The 21,460-nt window shown below is 42.8% G+C and overlaps 1 protein-coding gene and 1 pseudogene across 7 annotated transcripts in view; one reads left to right on the top strand and one right to left on the bottom strand.

Annotated features, from left to right (window-relative positions):
* GGNBP2 (gametogenetin binding protein 2) overlaps nt 1–21,460 on the bottom strand; it is a 44,930-nt gene that overhangs the window by 13,931 nt on the left and 9,539 nt on the right. For 4 of the 7 annotated variants that reach the window (XM_005257689.4, NM_024835.5, XM_011525265.4 and 1 more), the window contains 4 exons: nt 21,018–21,098; nt 18,582–18,835; nt 15,047–15,145; nt 8,142–8,255 (listed from right to left, as the gene is read on the bottom strand). In XM_005257689.4, coding sequence (XP_005257746.1) covers nt 8,142–8,255; nt 15,047–15,145; nt 18,582–18,835; nt 21,018–21,098 — 548 coding nt within the window. The remainder of the gene's footprint in view (nt 1–8,141; nt 8,256–15,046; nt 15,146–18,581; nt 18,836–21,017; nt 21,099–21,460) is intronic. The other 3 variants (XM_011525266.3, XM_047436774.1, XM_047436775.1) reach the window with 1 other exon arrangement.
* RPS2P50 (ribosomal protein S2 pseudogene 50) lies at nt 573–1,496 on the top strand (annotated as a pseudogene).

Here is a 21,460-nt window from a genome sequence, read left to right as displayed (position 1 = left end):
CCCAGCCCTTTGGGAGGCAAAGGCGGGTGGATCATCTGAGCTCAGGAGTTCGAGATCAGCCTGGCCAACATGGTGAAACCCCGTCTCTACTAAAAATACAAATATTAGCCAGATGTGGTGGCATACACCTGTAATCCCAGCTACTCAGGAGGCTGAGGCAGGAGAATTGCTTGAACCCGGGAGGCAGAGGTTGCAGTGAGCCAAGATCGCACCACTGCACTCCAGCCTGCATAAGAAGAGCGAAACTCCATCTCAAAAAAAAAAAAAAATATATATATATATATATATATATATATATATATATGTTACATTAGAGGCTCTAAGCCCACTTGGTAAACAGAGGCAACAATGCTGACAAATAATGTTAAATTATGTTATTTCACTAAAGTTTTAAATATGGGCAAAAATATACAAAAATTAACACAAAATGGATTAAAAACTAAATGTTAACATCTGAAAACCATAAAACTAGAAGAAAACATAGGGGAAACTCTTCATGACACTGGACTAAGTGATGATTTCCTGGCTATGACACCAAAAGCACACATGCACAACAAAAACAAAAATAGATGCTTCTCTGAGAAAACACCAAATGGCAGATGATGCTGGTGGCAGCCGGTGGTGGGGATCGCCTGGGATGGGGAAATGCAGTGGCTTCCGTGGAGGTTTCGGCAGTGGCATCCGGGGCCGGGGCTGGGGCTGAGGCCGCGGCTGAGGCCGCAGAGCTCATGGAGGCAAGGCCGAGGATAAAGAGTGGATGCCTATCACCAAGCTGGGCCGCCTGGTCAAGCACATGAAGATCAAGTCCCTGGAGGAGATGTATGTCTTCTCCCTGCCCATGAAGGAATCTGAGATCACTAACTTTTTCCTGGGGGCCTCTCTCAAGGACGAGGTTTTGAAGATTATGCCAGTGCAGAAGCAGACCCGTGCCGGCCAGCGCACCAGGTTCAAGATGTTTGTTGCCATCGTGGACTACAATGGCCACATCGGTCTGGGTGTTAAGTGCTCCAAGGAGGTGGCCACTGCCATCCACGGGGCCATCATCCTGGCCAAGCTCTCTATTGTCCCTGTGCACAGAGGCTACTGGGGGAACAAGATCAGCAAGCCCCACACCATCCCTTGCAAGCCGACAGGCCACCACGGCTCTGTGCTGGTGCGCCTCATCCCTACGCCCAGAGGCACTGGCATCGTCTCAGTGCCTGTACCCAAGAAGCTGCTTATGATGGCTGGTATTGATGACTGCTACACCTTAGCCAGGGGCTACACTGCCGCCCTGGGTAACTATACCAAGGACACCTTTGATGCCATCTCTAAGACCTACAGCTACCTGACCCCCGACCTCTGGAAGGAGACTGTATTCATCAAGTCTTCCTGTCAGGAATTCACTGACCATCTCGTCAAGACCCACACCAGAGTCTCCATGCAGAGGACCCAGGCTCCAGCTGTGGCTACAACACAGGGTTTTTATACAAGAAAAATAAAGTGAATTAAGCCTGAAAAAAAAAAAAAAGACTACAGTCGTGTCACTTAACAATGGGACACATTCTGAGAAATGCATTGTTAGCTATTTTGTTGCTGTGCGAACATCAGAGTGTACTTACACAAACCTAGGTAGTATACATATTTTTATTTATATTTTTTTCACATGGAAAACCAAATGTCCCAGCACCATCACTGAATATTAATCATTTCCTCTACTTGATCTGCAACGCAGTATGCTCCATTATAATCTTACGGGCCCACTGTCATATATGTGGTCTATCACTGACCAAAATGTCATCACATAGCACATGACTATGCATTAAACTTAAAAACGTTGGCACAGCAAAGATGATCAACAGAGTAAAAAGGCAACCCAAAGAATGGGAAAAAATATTTGCAAACCATATATTGAATAAGGGGTTAATAGCCAGAATATAAAGAACCACTAGAACTCAATCACAAAAAAAATAGCTTAATTTAAAAATGGGCAAAGCCGTGATCATGCCACTGCACTCCAGCCTGGGCAACAAAGAAGATCCTGTCAAAAAAATAAAATAACTTAAAAGTAAATAAATAAATGGGCAAAGCATGAATCGACATTTCTCCAAAGATTATATACAAATGGCCAGCAAACATATGAAAAGATGCTCAACATCACTAATCATCAGGAAAATGCACATCAAAAACACAATGAGATATCACCTTAAACCAACTAGAATGACCACTATCAAAACAACAACAACAACAAATAACAAGTGTTACTGAGGATGTGAAGAAATTGGAACCCTTATGCACTGCTGGCAGGAATATAAAACGGTACAGCTGCTATGGAAACCGGTACGGAAGTTCTTCAAAATAAAACTACCATACGATCCAGGAATCCCACTTCTAGGTATATATCCAAAAGAACTGATAGCAAGGATCTTGAAGAGATATTTGCACACTCATGTTCACTGCAGCATTTATTGACAACAGGCGAAATGTGAGAGCAACCTTCAATGTCCATCAATGTATGAATGGACAAAGAAATGTGAATAGCCAGGTGCGGTAATCCCAGCACTTTGGGAGACCGAGGCGAATGGATCACTTGAGGTCTGGAGTTCAAGACCAGCCTGACCAACAAGGTGAAACCCTGTCTCTACTAAAAACACAAAAATTAGCCAGGTGTGGTGGTGTGTGCCTGTAATCCCAGCTACTCAGGAGGCTGAGGCAGGAGAATCACTTGAACTCGGGAGGCGGAGGTTGCAGTGAACCGAGATCAAGCCACTGCACCCCTGCCTGGGCAACAGAGCGAGACTGTCTCAAAAAAAAAGAAAAAAGAAAAGTGAATAATATCACATATACTATGACACTGCCCATTTTTAAATAATGTCACAGTATTGTGACATTATTCAGCTTTTAGAGGGGAATCCTGTCATATGCTACAACATAGATGAATCTTAGACATTATCTAAGTATTGTCTTAGATAATGGCTAAGTAAAATAAGCCAATCACAAAAATTCAAGTGCTACATTATCCCATTTATATGAGCTATCTAAAATAATTAAACTCAGAAACAGAAAGAAGAATTGTGGTTGCTAGGGGGTGAGGGGAGAAAAAAGGTGTTGTTCAATGCGTATAGTTTCAGTTGAGATGAAAAAGTTCTAGAGATCTGTTGTACAACAATGTGCATATAGTTAACAAAATTATAATGTACACTTAAAAACTGTTTGAAAGGTAAATTTATGTTTCACGGTTTTTTGAGACAGGGTCTCACTCTGTTGCCCAGGCTGGAGTGCAGTGGCATACTCTTGTCTCACTGTAGCCTCAACCTCCCTAGTAGGCTCAGGTGACCCTCCCCGCCTCATCCACCTGAGTACCTGGGACTACAGGTGTGTGCCACCACGCATGGCTAATATTTGTATTCTTTGGAGAGACAGGGTTTGGCCATGTTGCCCAGGCTAGTCTTGAACTCCTGGGCTCAAACAATCCGCCCACCTCAGTCTCCCAAAATGCTGAACTGTGAGACACTGTGCTTAGCCTTATTTTGTGTTCTTTTAAAATATACACATACGCGCGCAGGAACAGAAAGTCTCTCCTTTAGGAGAGAAAAAACGGACACAGAAATAACAACAAATACTTCCACATTTTCAGGTTATAAACAGCAAGTTCACATTTTCAGGTAATTAAATGGTCAAATATCAAAGAGAACAATAATAAAACTTGAAATATTTTCCCCCTATTTTACTGCTTTATACTCTCATAGTAGTTTAATATATGTTTGATTGTACAACTATAAGCATAAGTAAATAGCAAGTTAAAAATAGGATATAAAAGCCGTAAAAGCTTTTTTCCCATTTGCAAAAGCAGCATTGCATATGACTTTTTTAAAACTTTTTTTTTTCGAGACAGAGTCTCACTCTGTCACCCAGGCTGAAGTGCAGTGGCATGATCATGGCTCACTGCAGCCTTCAACCTTCCTGGGCTCAAGTGATCCTCCCACCTCAGCCTCCCGAGTAGATGAAACTGCAGGTGTGTCACTACGCCCAGCTAATTTTTTTATTTTGTTTTTATATTTATTTATTTATTTTTATTTACTATTATCTTTTTTTTGAGATGGAGTCTCGCTCTGTCGCCCAGGCTGCAGTGCAGTGGCGCAAACTCGGCTCACTGCAAGTTCCGCCTCCTCGGTTCACGCCATTCTCCTGCCTCAGCCTCCCAAGTAGCTGGGACTACAGGCGCCCGCCATCAAGCCCGGCTAAATTTTTTGTATTTTTTAGTAGAGATGGGGTTTCACAGTGTTAGCCAGGATAGTCTCAATCTCCTGACCTCATGATCCGCCCGCCTCGGCCTCCCAAAGTGCTGGGATTACAGGCGTGAGCCATGGCACCCGGCCTGTTTTTTTTGTGAGATGGAGTCTTGCTGTTGCCGAGGCTGGAGAGCAAATGGCGTAATCTTGGCTCACCGCAACCTCCACCTCTCAGGTTAAGTGATTCTCCTGCTTCAGCCTCCTGAGTAGCTGGGATTACAGGCACACGCCACCAAGCCCGGCTAATTTTTGTATTTTTAGTAGAGACGGGGTATCACCATGTTGGCCAGGCTGGTCTTGAACTCCTGACCTTGTGATCCACCCACCTCCGCCTCCCAAAGTGCTGAGATTAGAGGAGTGAGCCACCACACTCAGCCTTTATAAATGGGCCTCCCTATGTTGCCCAAGCTGGTATTGAACTCCTGAACTCAAGTGATCCTCCTGCCTTGGCTTCCCAAAGTGTTGGAATTATAGGCTTGAGCCACAATGCCCAGCCTTAAAAAACCCTTAAGGCAGAGGTTTCAGTTTATTAACACCTCATTTCTAATGATGTTCTATCACGTCTCAGCCTTTTGACTAAGATCAAGTGTAGTATCTGCCGATGTTCTACCGTAATACTTTTCTTTTGAGACAGAGTCTCACTCTGTCACCCAGGCTTGAGTGCAGTAGCACAATCTCAGCTCACTGCAAACTCTGCCTCCCAGATTCCAGCAATTCTCATGCCTCAGCCTCCTGAGTAGCTGGGATTACAGAAGTGCACCACCATGCCTGGCTAATTTATGTATTTTCAGTAGAGAGGGGTTTCACCATGTTGGCCAGGCTGGTCTCAAACTCCTGGCCTCATGTGATCTGCCCATTTCAGCCTCCCAAAGTGCTAGGATTACAGGCATGAGCCACCATGCCCGGCCTCTACCGTAATTCTTTTTTTGTTGTTGTTTTTTTGGGAACGAAGTTTCACTCTTGTTGCCCAGGCTGGAGCGCAATGGCGCGATCTCAGTTTACTGCAACCTCTGCCTCCTCCTGGGTTCAAGCGATTCTCCTGCCTCAGCCTCCTGAGTAGTTGGGATTATAGGCACCCACCACCACGCCCAGCTAATTTTTGTATATTTAGTAGAGATGGGGTTTCCCCATGTTGACCAGGCTGGTCTTGAACTTCTGACCTCAGGTGATCCACCCGCCTTGGCCTCCCAAAGTGCTGGGATTACAGGCATGAGCCACTGCACCCAGCTGCTAATTTTATTTTAATTTTTATTATTTTTGAGATGGCGTTTCACTCTGTTGCTCAAGCTGGAGTGCAGTGGTACAATCACGGCCACTGTGATCATGGTGCACCTTCAACCTCCTGGGCTCAAGTGATACTCTCACCTCACCCTCCCCAGTAGCTAGGACTACAGGTTTGTGCCACCATGGCAGCTAATTTTTCTGCTTTTTTGTAGAGACGGGGTTTTACCATGTTGTCTAGGCTGGTCTAAAACTCCTGAGCTCAAACCATCTACCTGACTTGGCCTCCCAAAGTGCTGGAACTACAGTTGTGAGCCACCATGCCCAGCCTATGTTTGTTTTAAAGAAGACAAAAATTGAGGCACAGAAAGTCAACTAACTTGTACAGTTACAATTAGTAGAATCCAGATGCAATACAATCTCCCTAAATTCATCACTCACTGCCTTAATTATTATTACTCTCAACCATACTTTCTCACAACCGTTAAGATATCTGTAAAATGGACTAAAATCCATCTAAAAATGTTAAAACACTAACCCTAAACATAGGAAAATCTACAAAACCATTATAAGAAACTCCAAAACATGTGCTCTAATAACTTGTCATTTATCACCTGCAAAAACTATCTTTTGGGAGGATCAATTCATATTTAAAGAGGAAGGATATATGTTTTGTGTCTGTATAGTCCCTGTAAAACTCCAAGTAAGTGACACATTCTCTACTCTCTTGGGCATAATCCACCAAAAAGGCAAAGAAAGAAAGTTTTTAATTGAAAAAAGAAAAACACCAATAAACTTGGTATGCGGGCGAAGTCATTAGCTTACTGCCACATAAAGTAATGACACCAGTTTTTATCATTCACTTGATTTTTAGAGGCACTCCCAAAATAATTGTGTATATCTGCCTCAAAGTCAAAGGACATACAACCACAAACGCAACTTGTAACAAATTTAAACAGTAGAACTGCCCCAAGAACACCATCTCTAGATGCTGTTACCTTACCAGTTGCTTTTTCTTTTTTTGAGACGGAGTCTTGCTCCGTTGGAGTGCAGTGGCACGATCCTGGCTCACTGCAACCTCTACCTCCTGGTTTCAAGCAATTCACCTGCCTCAGTCTCCCAAGTAGCTGGGACTACACGTGCGTGCCACCATGCCTGGCTAATTTTTTTATTTTTAGTAGACACGGGGTTTCGCCACGTTGGCCTGGCTGGTCTCAAACTCCTGACTTAAGGTGATCCACTTGACTGAGACTTCCAAAGTGCTGGGATTACAGACGTGAGCCACCGCACCCTGCCCACCAGTTTCCTTTTCTACTGGAGTCTCCTCCCTATGAATTTCCAAATGTTAATGACACTTAGAAGATTCCTTTGTAGGCCAGGCACGGTGGCTCACACCTGTAATCCCAGCACTTCGGGAGGCTGAGGAGAGCGGATCACAAGTCAGGAGACTGAGACCATCCTGGCAAACATGGTGAAACCCCATCTCTACTAAAAATACAAAAATTAGCTGGGCACAGTGGTATGTGCCTGTAATCCCAGCTACTTGGGAGGGTGAGGCAGGAGAATCTCTTGAACCAGGGAGTCAGCAGTTACAGTGAGCCGAGATCGAGCCAGCGCATTCCAGCCTGGCAACAGAGCGAGACTTCGTCTCAAAAAAAAAAAAAGAAAATTCCTTTGTAAAAGTAGTGTTCTATAAAGAAAAATCTGAAGTTACTTTTATAGTAACAAAACACATGAATATCAACTCTCTTTTGGGGTCCTGATAATGACAGAAGAAATACTTCAAATATTAAGTAAAAAGCTACTAATTTAATTTTGAAAATGCCATTATAGGCTGGGCACAGCTCATGCCTGTAATCTCAGCACTTTGGGAGGTCGAGGCAGATGGATTACCTGAGGTCAGGAGTTCGAGACCAGCCTGAACAACATGGCGAAGCCCCGTCTCTACTAAAAATACAAAAATTAGCCGGGCGTGGTGGCATGCGCCTGTAGTCTCAGCTACTCAGGAGGCTGAGGCAGGAGAACCGCTGGAACGCGGGAGGCGGAGGGAACAGTGATCCGAGGTCTCGCTACTGCACTCCAGCCTGGGTGACAGAGTGCAACTCTGTCTCAAAAAGAAAAAAAAAAAAATCACAAAATAGGAGATGCTGGCTTAACACAAGAAGGCTAACCCTGAGAGTCATCCCATAAAGCAACTGCTTTGGCCAAGCGCAGTGGCTCATGCCTGTAATCCTAGCACTTTGGGAGGCCGAGGTTGGTGGATCACAAGGTCAGCAGATCTAAACCATCCTGGCCAACATGGTGAAACCCCATCTCTACTAGAAATACAAAAATTAGCTGGGTGTGGCGGCGTATGCCTGTAATCCCAGCTACTCGAGACGCTGAGGCAGGAGAATCTCTTGAACCTGGGAGGCAGAGGTTGCAGTGAGCCGAGATCGCGCCACTGTACTCCAGCCTGGCGACAGAGCTAGACTCCATCTCAAAAAAAAAAAAAGGAACTGCCTACTCTAATATTAAGCTCCGCCTAGTGCCAAGTATTAAAGGGAAGGCTAGAATGCTATTATACAAAGGAGTTCAGTGACAGGCCACTCTAGGTGACTGACACATAAGGCACCTTCCACATTATACTGGAACAACCATCAGACTTACCTGTGTTTTCGCAGATATGTTTCTAGTGTTTCTAAAAGACAACTCGAGTCAATTAAAACTACTTCATCCCTGCATTCCTGCGACATTAGTTCCCATACATCCATCCAACAACCTCTGTAGAAAGAACAAATATTAGTGAAAAGGGAGAATACAGAAGGGTAAAACCTTAAAAAAACAAAAAACAGATTAAAGTATTGCTTGTTTTTACCTGGCTGTTCCCTGGAAACGTCCATAATGGAAAATGATCCTATACTTGCCGTCCTTCCTGTGGCCTTCACTATTTCTCATCTGTACTTAACTTCTCTGAACTGACACTGCTACTGCTCCCTTCACCGTAGTATAGTACAAAGCTTAGTGACACTGAGATAATCTGAAGAAATAATTTCTATAGTCTAAATTAAAATCATGAACACTTTAATGATTAAGATATTAGAACATGTTTACAAATTATATGATTACATACTCACTTTATATTAATATAACGTTCATTTAAATGTGTGCTCATATCTTTATATAAAAACTTCTGCTTGACTATCAAGTTTATCTGATACAATTTAACAACATCTGTAGTTATCAAGAGAGCAACTGGTTAATAAACTAAGTATTCTATGAGCAAATATAGTTGGAATGTTCTAAAGTCAAAATGACCGAAAAAATTATCAAGTATTTTCCCTTTTAAACACAGACCAATCTTCCACAAATTGAAAATTCTAAGAAGTTTTGATCTACTTAATGAGATCATCATCAAGTAATTTTTTTTTTACTTTTATTTTGTAGAGACAAGGTCTCTACTATGTTGCCCAGCCTGGCCTCAAACCCCTGACCTCAAGCCATTCTCCCACCTCAGCCTCCCAAAGCACTGGGATTACAGGTGTGAGCCACCATGCTCAGCTCAATTTTTTTTTTGTAATCACTCCTTTTTAAAGCTAAACCATGGTAACAAAACTATCATCTACCTTCACATGTATAAGTAGCTGGGAAGGTCATAGATTAATTACAGTGAATAAGTTTTACATTTACTAAAAGATAGTACACTAAGACGAACACTTTATACAGCCTAAATTAATAAGAACTATGTGGTAATTTTTTTTTTTTTGAGACAGATTCTCGCTCTGTCACTCAGGCTGGAATGCAGTGGCGTGATCTTGGCTCAGTGCAACCCCACCCCTGCAGGGGCTCAAGTGATCCTCCTACCTCAGCCTCCCGAATAGCTAGGACCATAGGCGTGTACCACCACACCAGGTTATTTTTATTTTTTTATTTTTTGTATTTTTTAAGTAGAGACAGCAGGGTCTTGTCATGTTGCCCAGGCTGATCTCCGACTCCTCAGCTCAAGCAATCCACCCACCTCAGCCTCCCAAAGGGCTGGGATTACAGGCGTGAGCCACCAAGCCCAGCCCTATACAATTTTTTAACAAACTTACTAAAAACTTCCCACTCTCCCTCCCCAACAGGGTTCAACTTCAGTATGAAAATTGCCACACATTTTGCTTTGTTGCAGCACATTTATCTTGGACCTGCATTCCAAGGGAAATGTGGGTTTACACTCCATTCAATCACAGCCTTCTTGATTTTTCATGATTCTGAACAACTGGCTCCTGTCTGTTCTTCTGCAGGTCTCAGTACAGTCCAAGGAATTCATTACACCTTGGACGCCAGAGACGGAAAAACCTCTGAACTTTTAACTTACTCTATGTAGCTAAATGGGTATTTCTCAACCCTCTGCCTAAAATGTAAGTTATCCACACAATTCAGCTCTGTACTCCCTCTCACAAGGGCTCAGGCCAAGGTTTAGCTCCCCTTATTTGTGACAACAAAAACATCATCTGTTCCACTTTCCATGCTACATCCTTCTATTCTCAACTCTGATATTTCCTTTTTGAGACAGAGTCTCACTCTGTCGCCCAAGCTGGAGTGCAGTGGTGTGATCTCGGCTCACTGCAACCTCCGCCTCCCAGGTTCAAGCGATTCTCCTGCCTCAGCCTCCCAAGTAGCTGGGACTACAGGCGTGTGCTACCACACCTGGCTAATTTTTGTATTTTTAGTAGAGACGGGGTTTCGCCATATTGGCCAGGCTGGTCGCGAACTCCTGACCTCGTGATCTGCCTGCATCGGCCTCCCAAAGTGCTGGGATTACCAGTGTGAGCCACCCCGCCCAGCCCCTTTTATTAACTATACTTGATCAGTATAATGCATAATTTCCCAGAACTGAAAAACTCTCAAACTCAAGCTCTCATAATTGAGGGAAAGGTTCATAAAGAGAAATCAGCTAAAGAATGATTATTATATCATTAGAATGTGAAGGCATTTTTTTTTTAAAAAAAAGCTCTATAAAAAAAATCTGTATCTCAAATCAGGATTTTATTTATAAACATTCTAGACCTTATGCCTTCTATTATTCTTTTAAGATCAAACTTTCCAAAAAAATAACCTTTCCACTTTCTGATTCTGCTCCCATACTCTCCATTCACAGCTTAATCCATGACAACCTTACATTGCATTCACTTTTCAATCATTGCAACCTGGATTCTGCTTCCACTCAATCACTAGCTCAGCTCTTCAAGATCACCAATTATCTCATTGTTACTAAATCCAATGTCCACTTTTGGGTCCTTGATAACTTGGCCGCATTTAATATAGTTGATCAGACTTCCTTGGAACGCTTTTACACCTTGGCTTCCTTCTACCTATCTGGCTACTCTTTCTCAGGTTTCTTTACTAATTTCTTTTCTACCATTAAATTCCTCAGAATTCTTTTACTCTCTTTCCCTTTAGGTGATCTTACATAACATTCTCTAAGATAAACTACAGGCCTACAACTCCAGCCTAGATCTTTCTTCCAGATCTCAAACTTACTCCCAGACAGACAATAACCTGGGTTTACTTGCATAGATGAGAGAATACTCTCAGAAAGGCTGACCTAGATTTCTATTTATTAGGCTAAAACCTAATCAACTGTATTATACTTTCTCTGGAAATAGACTAAACAAATTAAAAAAGCTATGGGGGGTGGGGATGTAGCAGCAGGAGGGGGAGTGGAAATACATAAAATGGAGAATCATAGTAGCATTTAATAGTGGTGACCATCCAAGGGAGAGGGAGCCTTGGCTAAGCATACTGTACTGCTTAGCCTGCTATTCTATGTGGCCTGTGGGAATAACTGAAGCTACCTTAATCAAGAGACAGACACCACTTAAGATCAATTAAGTCCATTCACACTGATTCCATACTCAGCAAACAGCCTTCTAAAACATATGACTTCCCATGTAGTGGAACTGTAGCTAGAAGGGGATGTAAAATCTGTGGAGGTTTGTTTTGTTTCTTAAGCTGAAAGATAGGAAAACAGAGCTGAATGTAAATTTAACAAAAGTAGGTAACTGAATAAGCAAAGTGATTGAAAACAAAGAAAATGGAGTGCAGAGCAAGAGTGGAAGGATTGGTCTTTGAAGGAAGGCAGCAATGAACACAGATGCATAAAATGCTGGGCTACTTGCTTCTCAGTTCATCAACAAAGAATATGCTTAACAGAAAAAAAGCACCAGAAGGCAAGCTCTTTACTGTATCATACCACTTTAGGCCTTCAGCCAACAGGTCATCTCTAATGTGAAAAATTAGCCTGTACTCTGCATTTAGAGTCAGAAATTCTCTGAAGCTACTGACAAATCTGAGAAGGAAGAATGAGCTGATGAAAAAATAAAAAATAAAAAATTTTTAAAAGATACTGACAAATTGGGCCAGGCGCCGTGGCTCACGCCTGTTAATCCCAACACTTTGGGAGGCCAAGGCGGGTTGATCACCTGAGGTCAGGAGTTCGAGACCAGCCTGGCCAACCTGGTGAAACCCTGTGTCTACTAAAAATACAAAAATTAGCCGGGCATGGTAGCAGGTGCCTGTAATCCCAGCTACTTGGGAGGCTGAGGCAGGAGAATCACTTGAACCCAGGCGGCAGAGGTTGCAGTGAGCCGAGATCGCGCCACTGCACTCTAGCCCGGGTGACAGGGGAAATTCCATCTCAAAAAAAAAAAAAGAATTTGAAAGAAAGAAAAAAAAAAGATACTGACAAATCAAGCAGCAAAATAACAACTATCCTTAAGAAAACTTCTTTTCTTCAGGCTACAAGAACATAATGTGTGGTTCTTGTTTGGATCCTGATTCATACAAACCAACATTCAAAAAAAAAAAAAAAACCAGAAACAGGTAAAATCTAAGTATGAACTGGGTATTCGATTGTTACACTTAATTTTGTTAGGTGTTATGATGGCAATGTGTGAAAAAAAATGTCCATATATTTAGAGATGCATGTGGAAGGATGCAATAGAGTAACACGAAGCCTGGGACTTGCTTTAAAATACAAAGAAAAAGGTGGATAAATGAAGCAAGTGTGGCAACTCTTGATTACTACTAAATCTTGGTAAAAGTGCATGGGAGGTTCAATCATTGTATTTTTTACTTTTCTATGTTTGACAATTTTACTAATAAAATTTATTTTATTTATTTATTTATTTATTTCGAGACAAAGTCTCACTCTTGTCGCCCAGGCTGGAGTGCAATGGTGCGATCTTGGCTCAATGCAACCTCTGCCTCCTGGATTCAAGCGATTCTCCTGCCTCAGCCTCCCAAGTAGCTAAGATTACAAGCACCTGCCACCACGCCTGGCTAATTTTTGTATTTTTAGTAGAGACAGGGTTTCACCATGTTGGCCAGGCCGGTCTCGAACCCCCGACCTCAGAGAATCCACCCAACTTGGCCTCCCAAAGTGCTGGGATTACAGGCGTGAGCCACCACGCCCAGCCTTTTTTTTTTTTTTTTTTTTTTTTTTTTTTGAGACAGAGTCTCGCTCTGTCGCCCAGGCGACACGATCTCAGCTCACTGCAACCTCCACCTCTTGGGTTCAAGCAATTCTCCTGCCTCAGCCTCCTAAGTAGCTGGGATCACAGATGTGTGCCACCATGCCTGGCTAATTTTTATATTTTTAGTAGAGATGAGGTTTCCCCATGTTGGTCAGGCTGGTCTCGAACTCCTGACCTTGTGATCTGCTCGTCTCGGCCTCCAAAAGTGCTGGGATTACAGGCATGAGCCACTGCACCCGGCCGATAAAATGTTTTAAATATTTTTTGTTGCTCGGTATAGGGGAAAAAAACTTAATAGATTATTAACATACCACTGCCTGGTCATCCAAGTCTTTGTGTCAGGGAGGAAAATGTCTATACAATAATGGTGTAACTCGGAAGTTCAGGTCAAAAAAAAAAAAAAATCAAAAAAAGGTGACAATGACACAAATGAGATATTTAAAAATTAACTTTTCAGAGGCCAGGTGCAGTGGCTCACGCCTGTAATCCCAGCACTTTGGGAGACCAAGTCAGGCAGATCACTTGAGGCCAGGAGTTTGAGATCAGCCTGGGCAACATGGCGAAACCCCGTCTCTATTAAAAATCCAAAAAAATTAGCCAGGAGTGGTGGCGAACACCTGTAATCCCAGCTACTCAGGAGGCTGAGGCACAAGAATTGCTTGAACCCAAGAGGCAGAGGTTGCATGAGCTGAGATCGTACCACTGCACTCCAGCCTGAGTGACAGAGCAAGACTGTGTCTCAAAAAAATAATTAAAAGATAAAATTAATAAAGAAGTATAGTTTTTTAATATCCCATTCTCTCCAAAACTAAAGTCACGTCTTAGAAAGTCCCTTCACACTCCATGGCTTCGCCTCACTATCCCCACCCCCAGGCAATTTTGTAGGGGACAACTATGGCACTGTGCTGGGAGAAAGTGAAAAAGCAGCCTTGGACACTATAGCACTTAATCAAGAAGAAAACTACAAATTATTATCAGGCAATATTTGCTTAAAAAATAAAATAGGCCGGGCGCGGTGGCTCACGCCTGTAATCTCAGCACTTTGGGAGGCCGAGGTGGGCGGATCATGAGGTCAGGAGATCGAGACCATCCTGGCTAACACGGTGAAACCCTGTCTCTACCAAAAATACAAAAAATTAGCCGGGCTTGGTGGCACGCACCTGTAGTCCCAACTACTCGGGAGGCTGGGGCAGGAGAACAGCTTGAACCCAGGAGGCAGAGGTTGCAGTGAGCCGAGATGACGCCACTGCACTCCAGCCTGGGCGACAGAGGAGACTCCATCTCAAAAAATAATAATAAATATAGAAAACTACAAATTAGTTACATAAATACATATTGTCATAATATCGTCATAACTACTTTTTTTAAAACCTTGGTAAATTACAGCTAGAGACAAGAAAGATAAATAATTTATACATTATGACTATTCTGTAGATCAAATAATGATTACCACTACTTTGAAAACGTTCATATTAGCTGCATACATTTCCATAAAGACTTCAACCGGCCGAGTGTGGTGCCTCACACCTGTAATCCCAGCACTTTGGAGGCTGAGGTGGGCGATCACCTGAGGTCAGGAGTCCGAGACCAGCCTGGCCAATAGGGTGAAACCCCATATCTACTAAAAATACAAAAATTAGCCAGGTGTGGTGGCACGCACCTGTAGTCCCAGCTACTCAGGAAGCTGAGGCAGGAGAATCATTTGAACCAGGGAGGTGGAGGTTGCAGTGAGCTGAGATTGTGCCACTGCACTCCAGCCTGGGAAATAAAGGGAGACTCCGTCTCAAAAAAAGAAAAAAAAAAAGACTTCAACCTCCCTCCTCTAAAACATATTTAACATAAAAAAATTTTTTTAAATCAGATCTACATTGAGACTTTATATATATCAAGGCAAAATGGCCAACATAACAAGAGGATCTATTTATTTTGACCTATGTCATAGAGTATAACCAATTAATGAATTAAAGCAAACAGTGGGTTTATTTCTTTTACTAAATATGATCAAATATATAATCTTAACAATGACAAAGCCTCTTGGTATTCAATTCTACTTACCCCAAAGGTTTTGGCTTGTGCGTATCTAAGGAGTGCAACTGACATCTCTTATTCTTCTTACTTTTTGGAATAGCATCTATCATGTCATTTAGTTTGGACCTAATTAAAAATAAAACATATTAAGGGTTTAATTCATTTTACTTTCAAATTTTAAAATCTCTATTTACTGTCTTTTAGAGAGAAGTCTCAAAACAAAACACAAAAAAACCACTTTTCTCTATCCCCACTGTATCTAGCAGTGTGCCTGGCACTCACGTTATTTCAACACTGACTGCTACCTGACTCTCAGCCATCTTCCCTTGCCCAGCCATTATGTAAATACACCAGTTGCAGAAGCACACACCTGTAGTCCCGGCTATTTGGGAGGCCGAGGTGAAAGGATCACTTAAGCCCAAGGGTTTGAGACCAGCCAGGGCAACATAGTGAGATCCCATGTCTTTAAAAAATATATAAAAACCTCACAAAACATTATGTAAACACAATACATCCTTGAAGAGGAGTCATCAACAGAACTTTTATGCAAATATGGAATACACACTACTACTATCCGCACCTTCCATCCAACCAATGAGCAAAGTTTGCCAATTCTACCTTTTAAATATTATCTAGAATCAGGCCTGGTGCAGTAGCTCATGCCTATAATCCCAGCACTTTGGAAGGCTGAGGTAAGAGGATCACTTGAGGCCAGGAGTTCAAAGCCAGCCTGGGTAACATAGCAAAATTTTCATCTCTACAGAAAATTTTAAAATGAGGCCAGGCATGGTGGCTCACACCTGTAATCCCAGCACTTTGGGAGACTGAGGCCAGGAGTTAAGAGACCAGCCTGGCCAACATGGAGAAACTCTATTTCTGCTAAAAAAAATACAAAAATTAGACAGGTGTGGTGGTGCACGCCTGTAATCCCAGCTTCTCAGGAGGCTGAGGCACGAGAATCACTTGAATCTGGGAGGCGGAGGTAGCAATGAGCCAAGATTGCACCACTGCACTCCAGCTTGAGACAGAGTGAGACTTTGTCTCAAAAAAATTAATAAATAAGATAGAATAAAAGCTAAATAAAAATTAACCAATCTAGAATCAGATCACTTCTTATCACCTCTACCATTATCATCCCTGTCCAACCCACCAATCTCTAGCTTAGTCAACTGCAATAGCTGGCCTCCTAAATGGTCTCCTTGCTGCACCTTCTGCCCTTTACATTCCAGGCCTCACTCAGCAGCTACAGTGATCCTTTTAAAATATGAATCAGATTACATTATTCCTCTGTTCAAAAACACTCCAAGGCTTATTTTCTCAAGCCCAGGCACAGTAAATATCAAAAGTCCCTACCACCATCTCTAAATAGGAAAGCCTCGGGTTTACTTTTCAGACCTCTTCTTCTTTTCCTATTTATATTCACTAAATGAGACAAATTTACATCTCTAACCCAGACCTCTCTGAATTCTATTTGGATGTCTAATCGCTATCTCAAACTTAGCACACCCAAAGATGAGCTCTGTTACATTTCTCCTCAGTCTCGTCCCTCTCGGTAAATGGTAACCATTTGCCCATTCTTTTTTTTTTTTTTTTTTTTTTTTTGAGACAGAGTCTCGCTCTGTTGCCCACGCTGGACTGCAGTGGCGCAATCTTGCCTCACTGCAACCTCCGCCTCCCGGGTTCAAGCGATTCCCGTCTCAGCCTCCTGAGTAGCTGGGATTACAGGTGCCTGCCACCACGCCCGGCTAATTTTTTATTTTTAGTAGAAATGGGGTTTCACCATGTTGGCCAAGCTGGTTTCAGACTCCTGACCTCTGGTGATCCACCCTCACCGACCTCCCAAAGTGCTGGGATTATAGGTGTGAGCAACCACGCAAGGCCTGTTGTCCATTCTTTACATCACAAATCTGAGAATCATCTTTGATGGCCTCCCTCACAACCAATCTATCCAAAAAATCCCACTGGCTCATTCCTCAAAATATATCCAGGATCCTTTATAACCATTTTTCACTACCTCCAAAGCCGTCATTCATTCTCAATACAGAGGTCAAAGTAAGCCAGATTTCATCAGACTATGCCACTCTTCTGCTCAAAACCTTCCCAAAGCTTGTCACCTCACTCAGAGTAAAAAAAAAAAGACCTCAGCCAGGCACGGTGGCTCACGCCTGTAATCCGAGCACTTTGGGAGTCCAAGGCGGGCAGATCGCCTGAGGTCAGGAGTTCAAGACCAACATGGCCAACATAGCGAAACCCTGTCTCTACTAAAAAATAAAAAAAAAGTCAAGCGTGGTAGTGGGCACCTGTAATCCCAGCTACTTGGGAGGCTGAGGCAGGAGAATCGCTTGAACCCGGGAGGCAGTGGTTGCAGTGAGCTGAGATCGAGCCATTGCACTCCAGCCTGGGCAACAATAGTGAAACTCTGTCTGAAAAAATAAAAATATGACTGGACCTTTTATTACCTTTTTTTTTTTTTTTTTTTTTTTTGAGATGGAGCTTTACTCTTGTTGCCCAGGCTGGAGTGCAATGTGCGATCTCAGCTCACTGCAACTGCCGCCTCCCGGGTTCAAGAGATTCTCCTGCCTCAGCCTCTCGAGTAGCTGGGATTACAGGGACCCGCCACCACTCCTGGCTAATTTTTTGTATTTTTAGTAGAGACTCGGTTTCAGCGTGTTGCCCAGGCTAGTCTTGAACTCCTGAGCTCAGGCAATCCAACTGCCTCGGCCTCCCAAAGTGTTGGGATTATAGGCGTGAGCCACCGCGCCCAGTCGCTCTTCTTTTTTTCTTTTTGAAACGGAGTCTCGCTCTGTCGCCCTGGCTGGACTGCAGTGGCGTGATCTCGGCTCACTGCAACCTCTGCCTCCTGGGTTCAAGTGATTCTCCTGCCTCAGCCTCCTGAATAGCTGTGATGACAGCCATGCGCCACCATGCTCAGCTAATTTTTGTATTTTTAGTAGAGATGGGGTTTCACCACGTTGGTCAGGATGGTCTCGACCTCCAGACCTCATGATCTGCCTGCCTTGGCCTCCCAAAGTGCTGGGATTACAGGCGTGAGCCACCGCGCCCGGCCTTATTACTCTGCTGACCCCATCTTTTATTACTGTTCCCTTCATTCATCTGGCTCCAGCCACAAGGGCTTCCTTACTATTCCTCAAACATGCCAATAAAACCCCAACCTCAGAACCTTTACACTAGCTGTCCCTTCTCTGCCTTCCCCCCAGTTTTCTACAAGATTTGCTTGCTCACTTCATTCAAATCTATATTCAATGTCATTTTATCAGGGAGGCCTTCCCTGACCATCCTCCACAATAATTCTACCCCCACTCCATTCTCTACCTCCCTTACTGATTTTTCTAACTTATCATCCCTGACAAATTGAATATTTGCTTTCTGTCTGCCTCTCCCCACGTGGAGAGTTGAAACTTTACATCCACTGGTACATACAACTTACTCAATAAAATTATTAAATCAGACTCAATCTTTCCATCAAGAAAATAAGCTGCCACTGTCACCAAGCTGTTTTAAATTTTAACAAACCCATTTTCTCCTAATTGATTATACTTACCCATGTACATAAAATAATGTATAAAGCTTCTTTGCATCAGTCATGCAGCTTCTAGTTACAGACAGGACTCCCTTGGGCCCTACTGTTAGGGGTTCAAGAGCAGGATTTCCAGACTCTACAAGCTGGGAAAAGAGACGCTCCACACTGCGACGACAACCAACACATGGGACAAGCTGAGAAAGTGCACTCAGGACTTCGCGTGATGTCACCACCATGGCAATACTTAGATCCTGTTGCTTAAGCATACCATGTCGCTGAAAGAGGGAAAGAAAATGAAAGAGTGTCCTTTAAAAAGACGTAAAATTACACTTTCACTACTACTGGTTCCTATCCTTGTGCAGTAAAGTACAACCTGGCCAGGGTTTACCAGCTCTACCTGCAACTGAGTCAGAAAGGCAAAGTAGTCAGCTTTGTCCATGCTGTACGGAATTTCCTCCACAAACCCCCTTGCTCTAGAATCTAGGGTATATAAACAACTCTGCTTAGGATGCCAAAAAGCAGTACTGCATCTGGAAATGTAGGGCTGGTTCAGTGAGTATTAGGCCAGTCCTCTCACAAAAAAAAAAAAAAAAAAAAAAAAAAAAAGCACAATACAGCTGTACCTTTTTTTTAAGTTTGTTTGTTTTTGTTTTTTGAGACGGCATCTTGCTCTCTCGCCAGGCTGGAGTGCAGTAGCACAATCTCAGCTCACTGCAACCTCTGCCTCCTGGGTTCAAGCAATTCTCCTGCCTCAGCCTCCCGAGTAGCTGGGACTACAGGTGTGCACCACCACGCCCGGCTAATTTTAGTATTTTTAGTAGAGATGGGGTTTCACCATGTTGGCAAGGATGGTCTTGATCTTTTGACCTTGTGATCCACCCGCCTCAGCCTCCCAAAGTGCTCGGATTACAGGCGTGAGCCACCACGCCTGGCCTGTTTTTTTTGTTTTGTTTTGTTTTGACAACTTTTAACAACACACTTACTATCACTATGTTTAGCTACAGGAGTCAAGTTAGGATGGTAATCATATGGAGCAGCAATTCCCAATCCAGAGGCATGAACAGGTATATTACGAATTAATGGGAGAAAACATGGCCTATCTTCCTTATGTAGGGAAGTAACTAGCATGCTGCTGCTTATGAATTGTATCTGCTGGTTATGACAAGGTAGAAAAATAACTGAGAGCTACTGTTGCAGAGAAATGAGCAAACTCTAGTAAGTAACTTCTACCTGATGGAGTTATAGTTAACTGCAGTTAACACTTTCAGATTTGCCAAAAACGGATAGGAAAGTAGGACAATTCCCAAGAAGCATTTTCTCACATTTACCATTACCCTTCCATTCAAAGTTTTCCTAAAAGTAGAAATAAGAGTTCTGAAGTAAACTAACAAGTCATCTTCCAATATCTTAATTACAGTCAGCCCTCCATATCCATGGGTTCTACATCTGTGAATTTAACCAACCAAGGATCGAAAATATTTGACAGGAAATACTAAACATGTACAGACTTTTCTTCCTTGTCATTATTCCCTAAAGATGCAGTATAACTACTATTTACACAGCATTTACATTGTATTAGGTACTATAAGTAATCTAAATATGCTTTAAAGTATATGGGAGGATGTGCAGAGGTTACATGCAAATATACATCTTATTTTTTCTGAGACAAGGTCTCACTCTATTGCCCAGGCTGGAGTGCAGTGATGCGATCTCAGCTGACTACAACCTCTGCCTCCTGGGCTCAAGAGATCCTGTCACCTGAACCTACGGAGGAGCTGGGACCCCAGGCACATGCTGCCATGTCTGCCCAACTTTTTTGCATTTTCTGTAGAAACAGGGTTTTGCCATGTTGCCCAGGCTGGTCTCCAACTACTGAACTCAAGCGATCCACCTGCCCTGGCCTCCCAAAGTGCTGGGATTACAGGCATGAGCCACCATGCCTAGCCCTTACTATATCATTTTGTATAAGCATTGTGGATTTTGGTTTGCCTAGGGATCCTTGAACTATCCCCCACGGATACTGAGGGACCACTATACATTGCATTTAAGTGTATTTATAAAGCACTATATTTCTCAGGAATTAAACAAACATCAGAAAATTCATAATATAGGATTACTTTGTCTGAACAAAACAATTAGTACAGCAGAAAACCAACAAGTTTTTAATGAAAAATTATATACCTTATCTTTTAAAAACTAGGAAAGATGGCCTGGTTTTAAAATTAAAGTCTTATGGACATGTAAAATATTAACACACCACCACCAATTCTTTTTCACATGGCAGTTACATAAATCATGTAAATAACTATGCATGCTTACTATAGCAATGGTGAAAGAGCAATTCCAGTGCAATATTAAGACCTAGAGAATCCTATATAAAATTAATACAGCTAAATTTTAAATGAGTCTTTAAAATACACATACACCATTAAAAACACTGATTGAAAAAACTATTACCTGAATGAACTGCTTTAGCTGTGCACCATTATTCTGATGTCCATCGAGATTTAACACATTATCAGGAAATTCCATCACCATCTTAAAATGCAAACAGAACGGAAATCAATTACTTTACCCCTCTGAGAACAGGATACAGCCTACAAACTCCAGAAATAGACCCGTGAAAGCCAGATTTGCACCCATCCCTAGCCCCTCAAAAAATTTTGTTAAATCCAAGTACATGGCCTGGTGCGGTGGCTCACACCTATAATCCCAGCACTTTGGGAGGCCAGTGGGGTGGGGGGCGGCGGATCACCTGAGGTTGGGAGTTCGAGACCAGCCTGACCAACATGGAGAAACCCCATCTCTACTAAATACATAAAATTAGGCAGGTTTGGTGGCGCATGCCTGTAATCCTAGCTACTTGGGAGGCTGAGCCAGGAGAACCACTTGAACCCGGG

This window comes from Homo sapiens, chromosome 17 (assembly GCF_000001405.40).
Source record: "Homo sapiens chromosome 17, GRCh38.p14 Primary Assembly".
NCBI lineage: Eukaryota > Metazoa > Chordata > Mammalia > Primates > Hominidae > Homo > Homo sapiens.
Note: the sequence above shows the minus strand (reverse complement) of the source record. Positions and strands in the feature narration are given on the sequence as shown.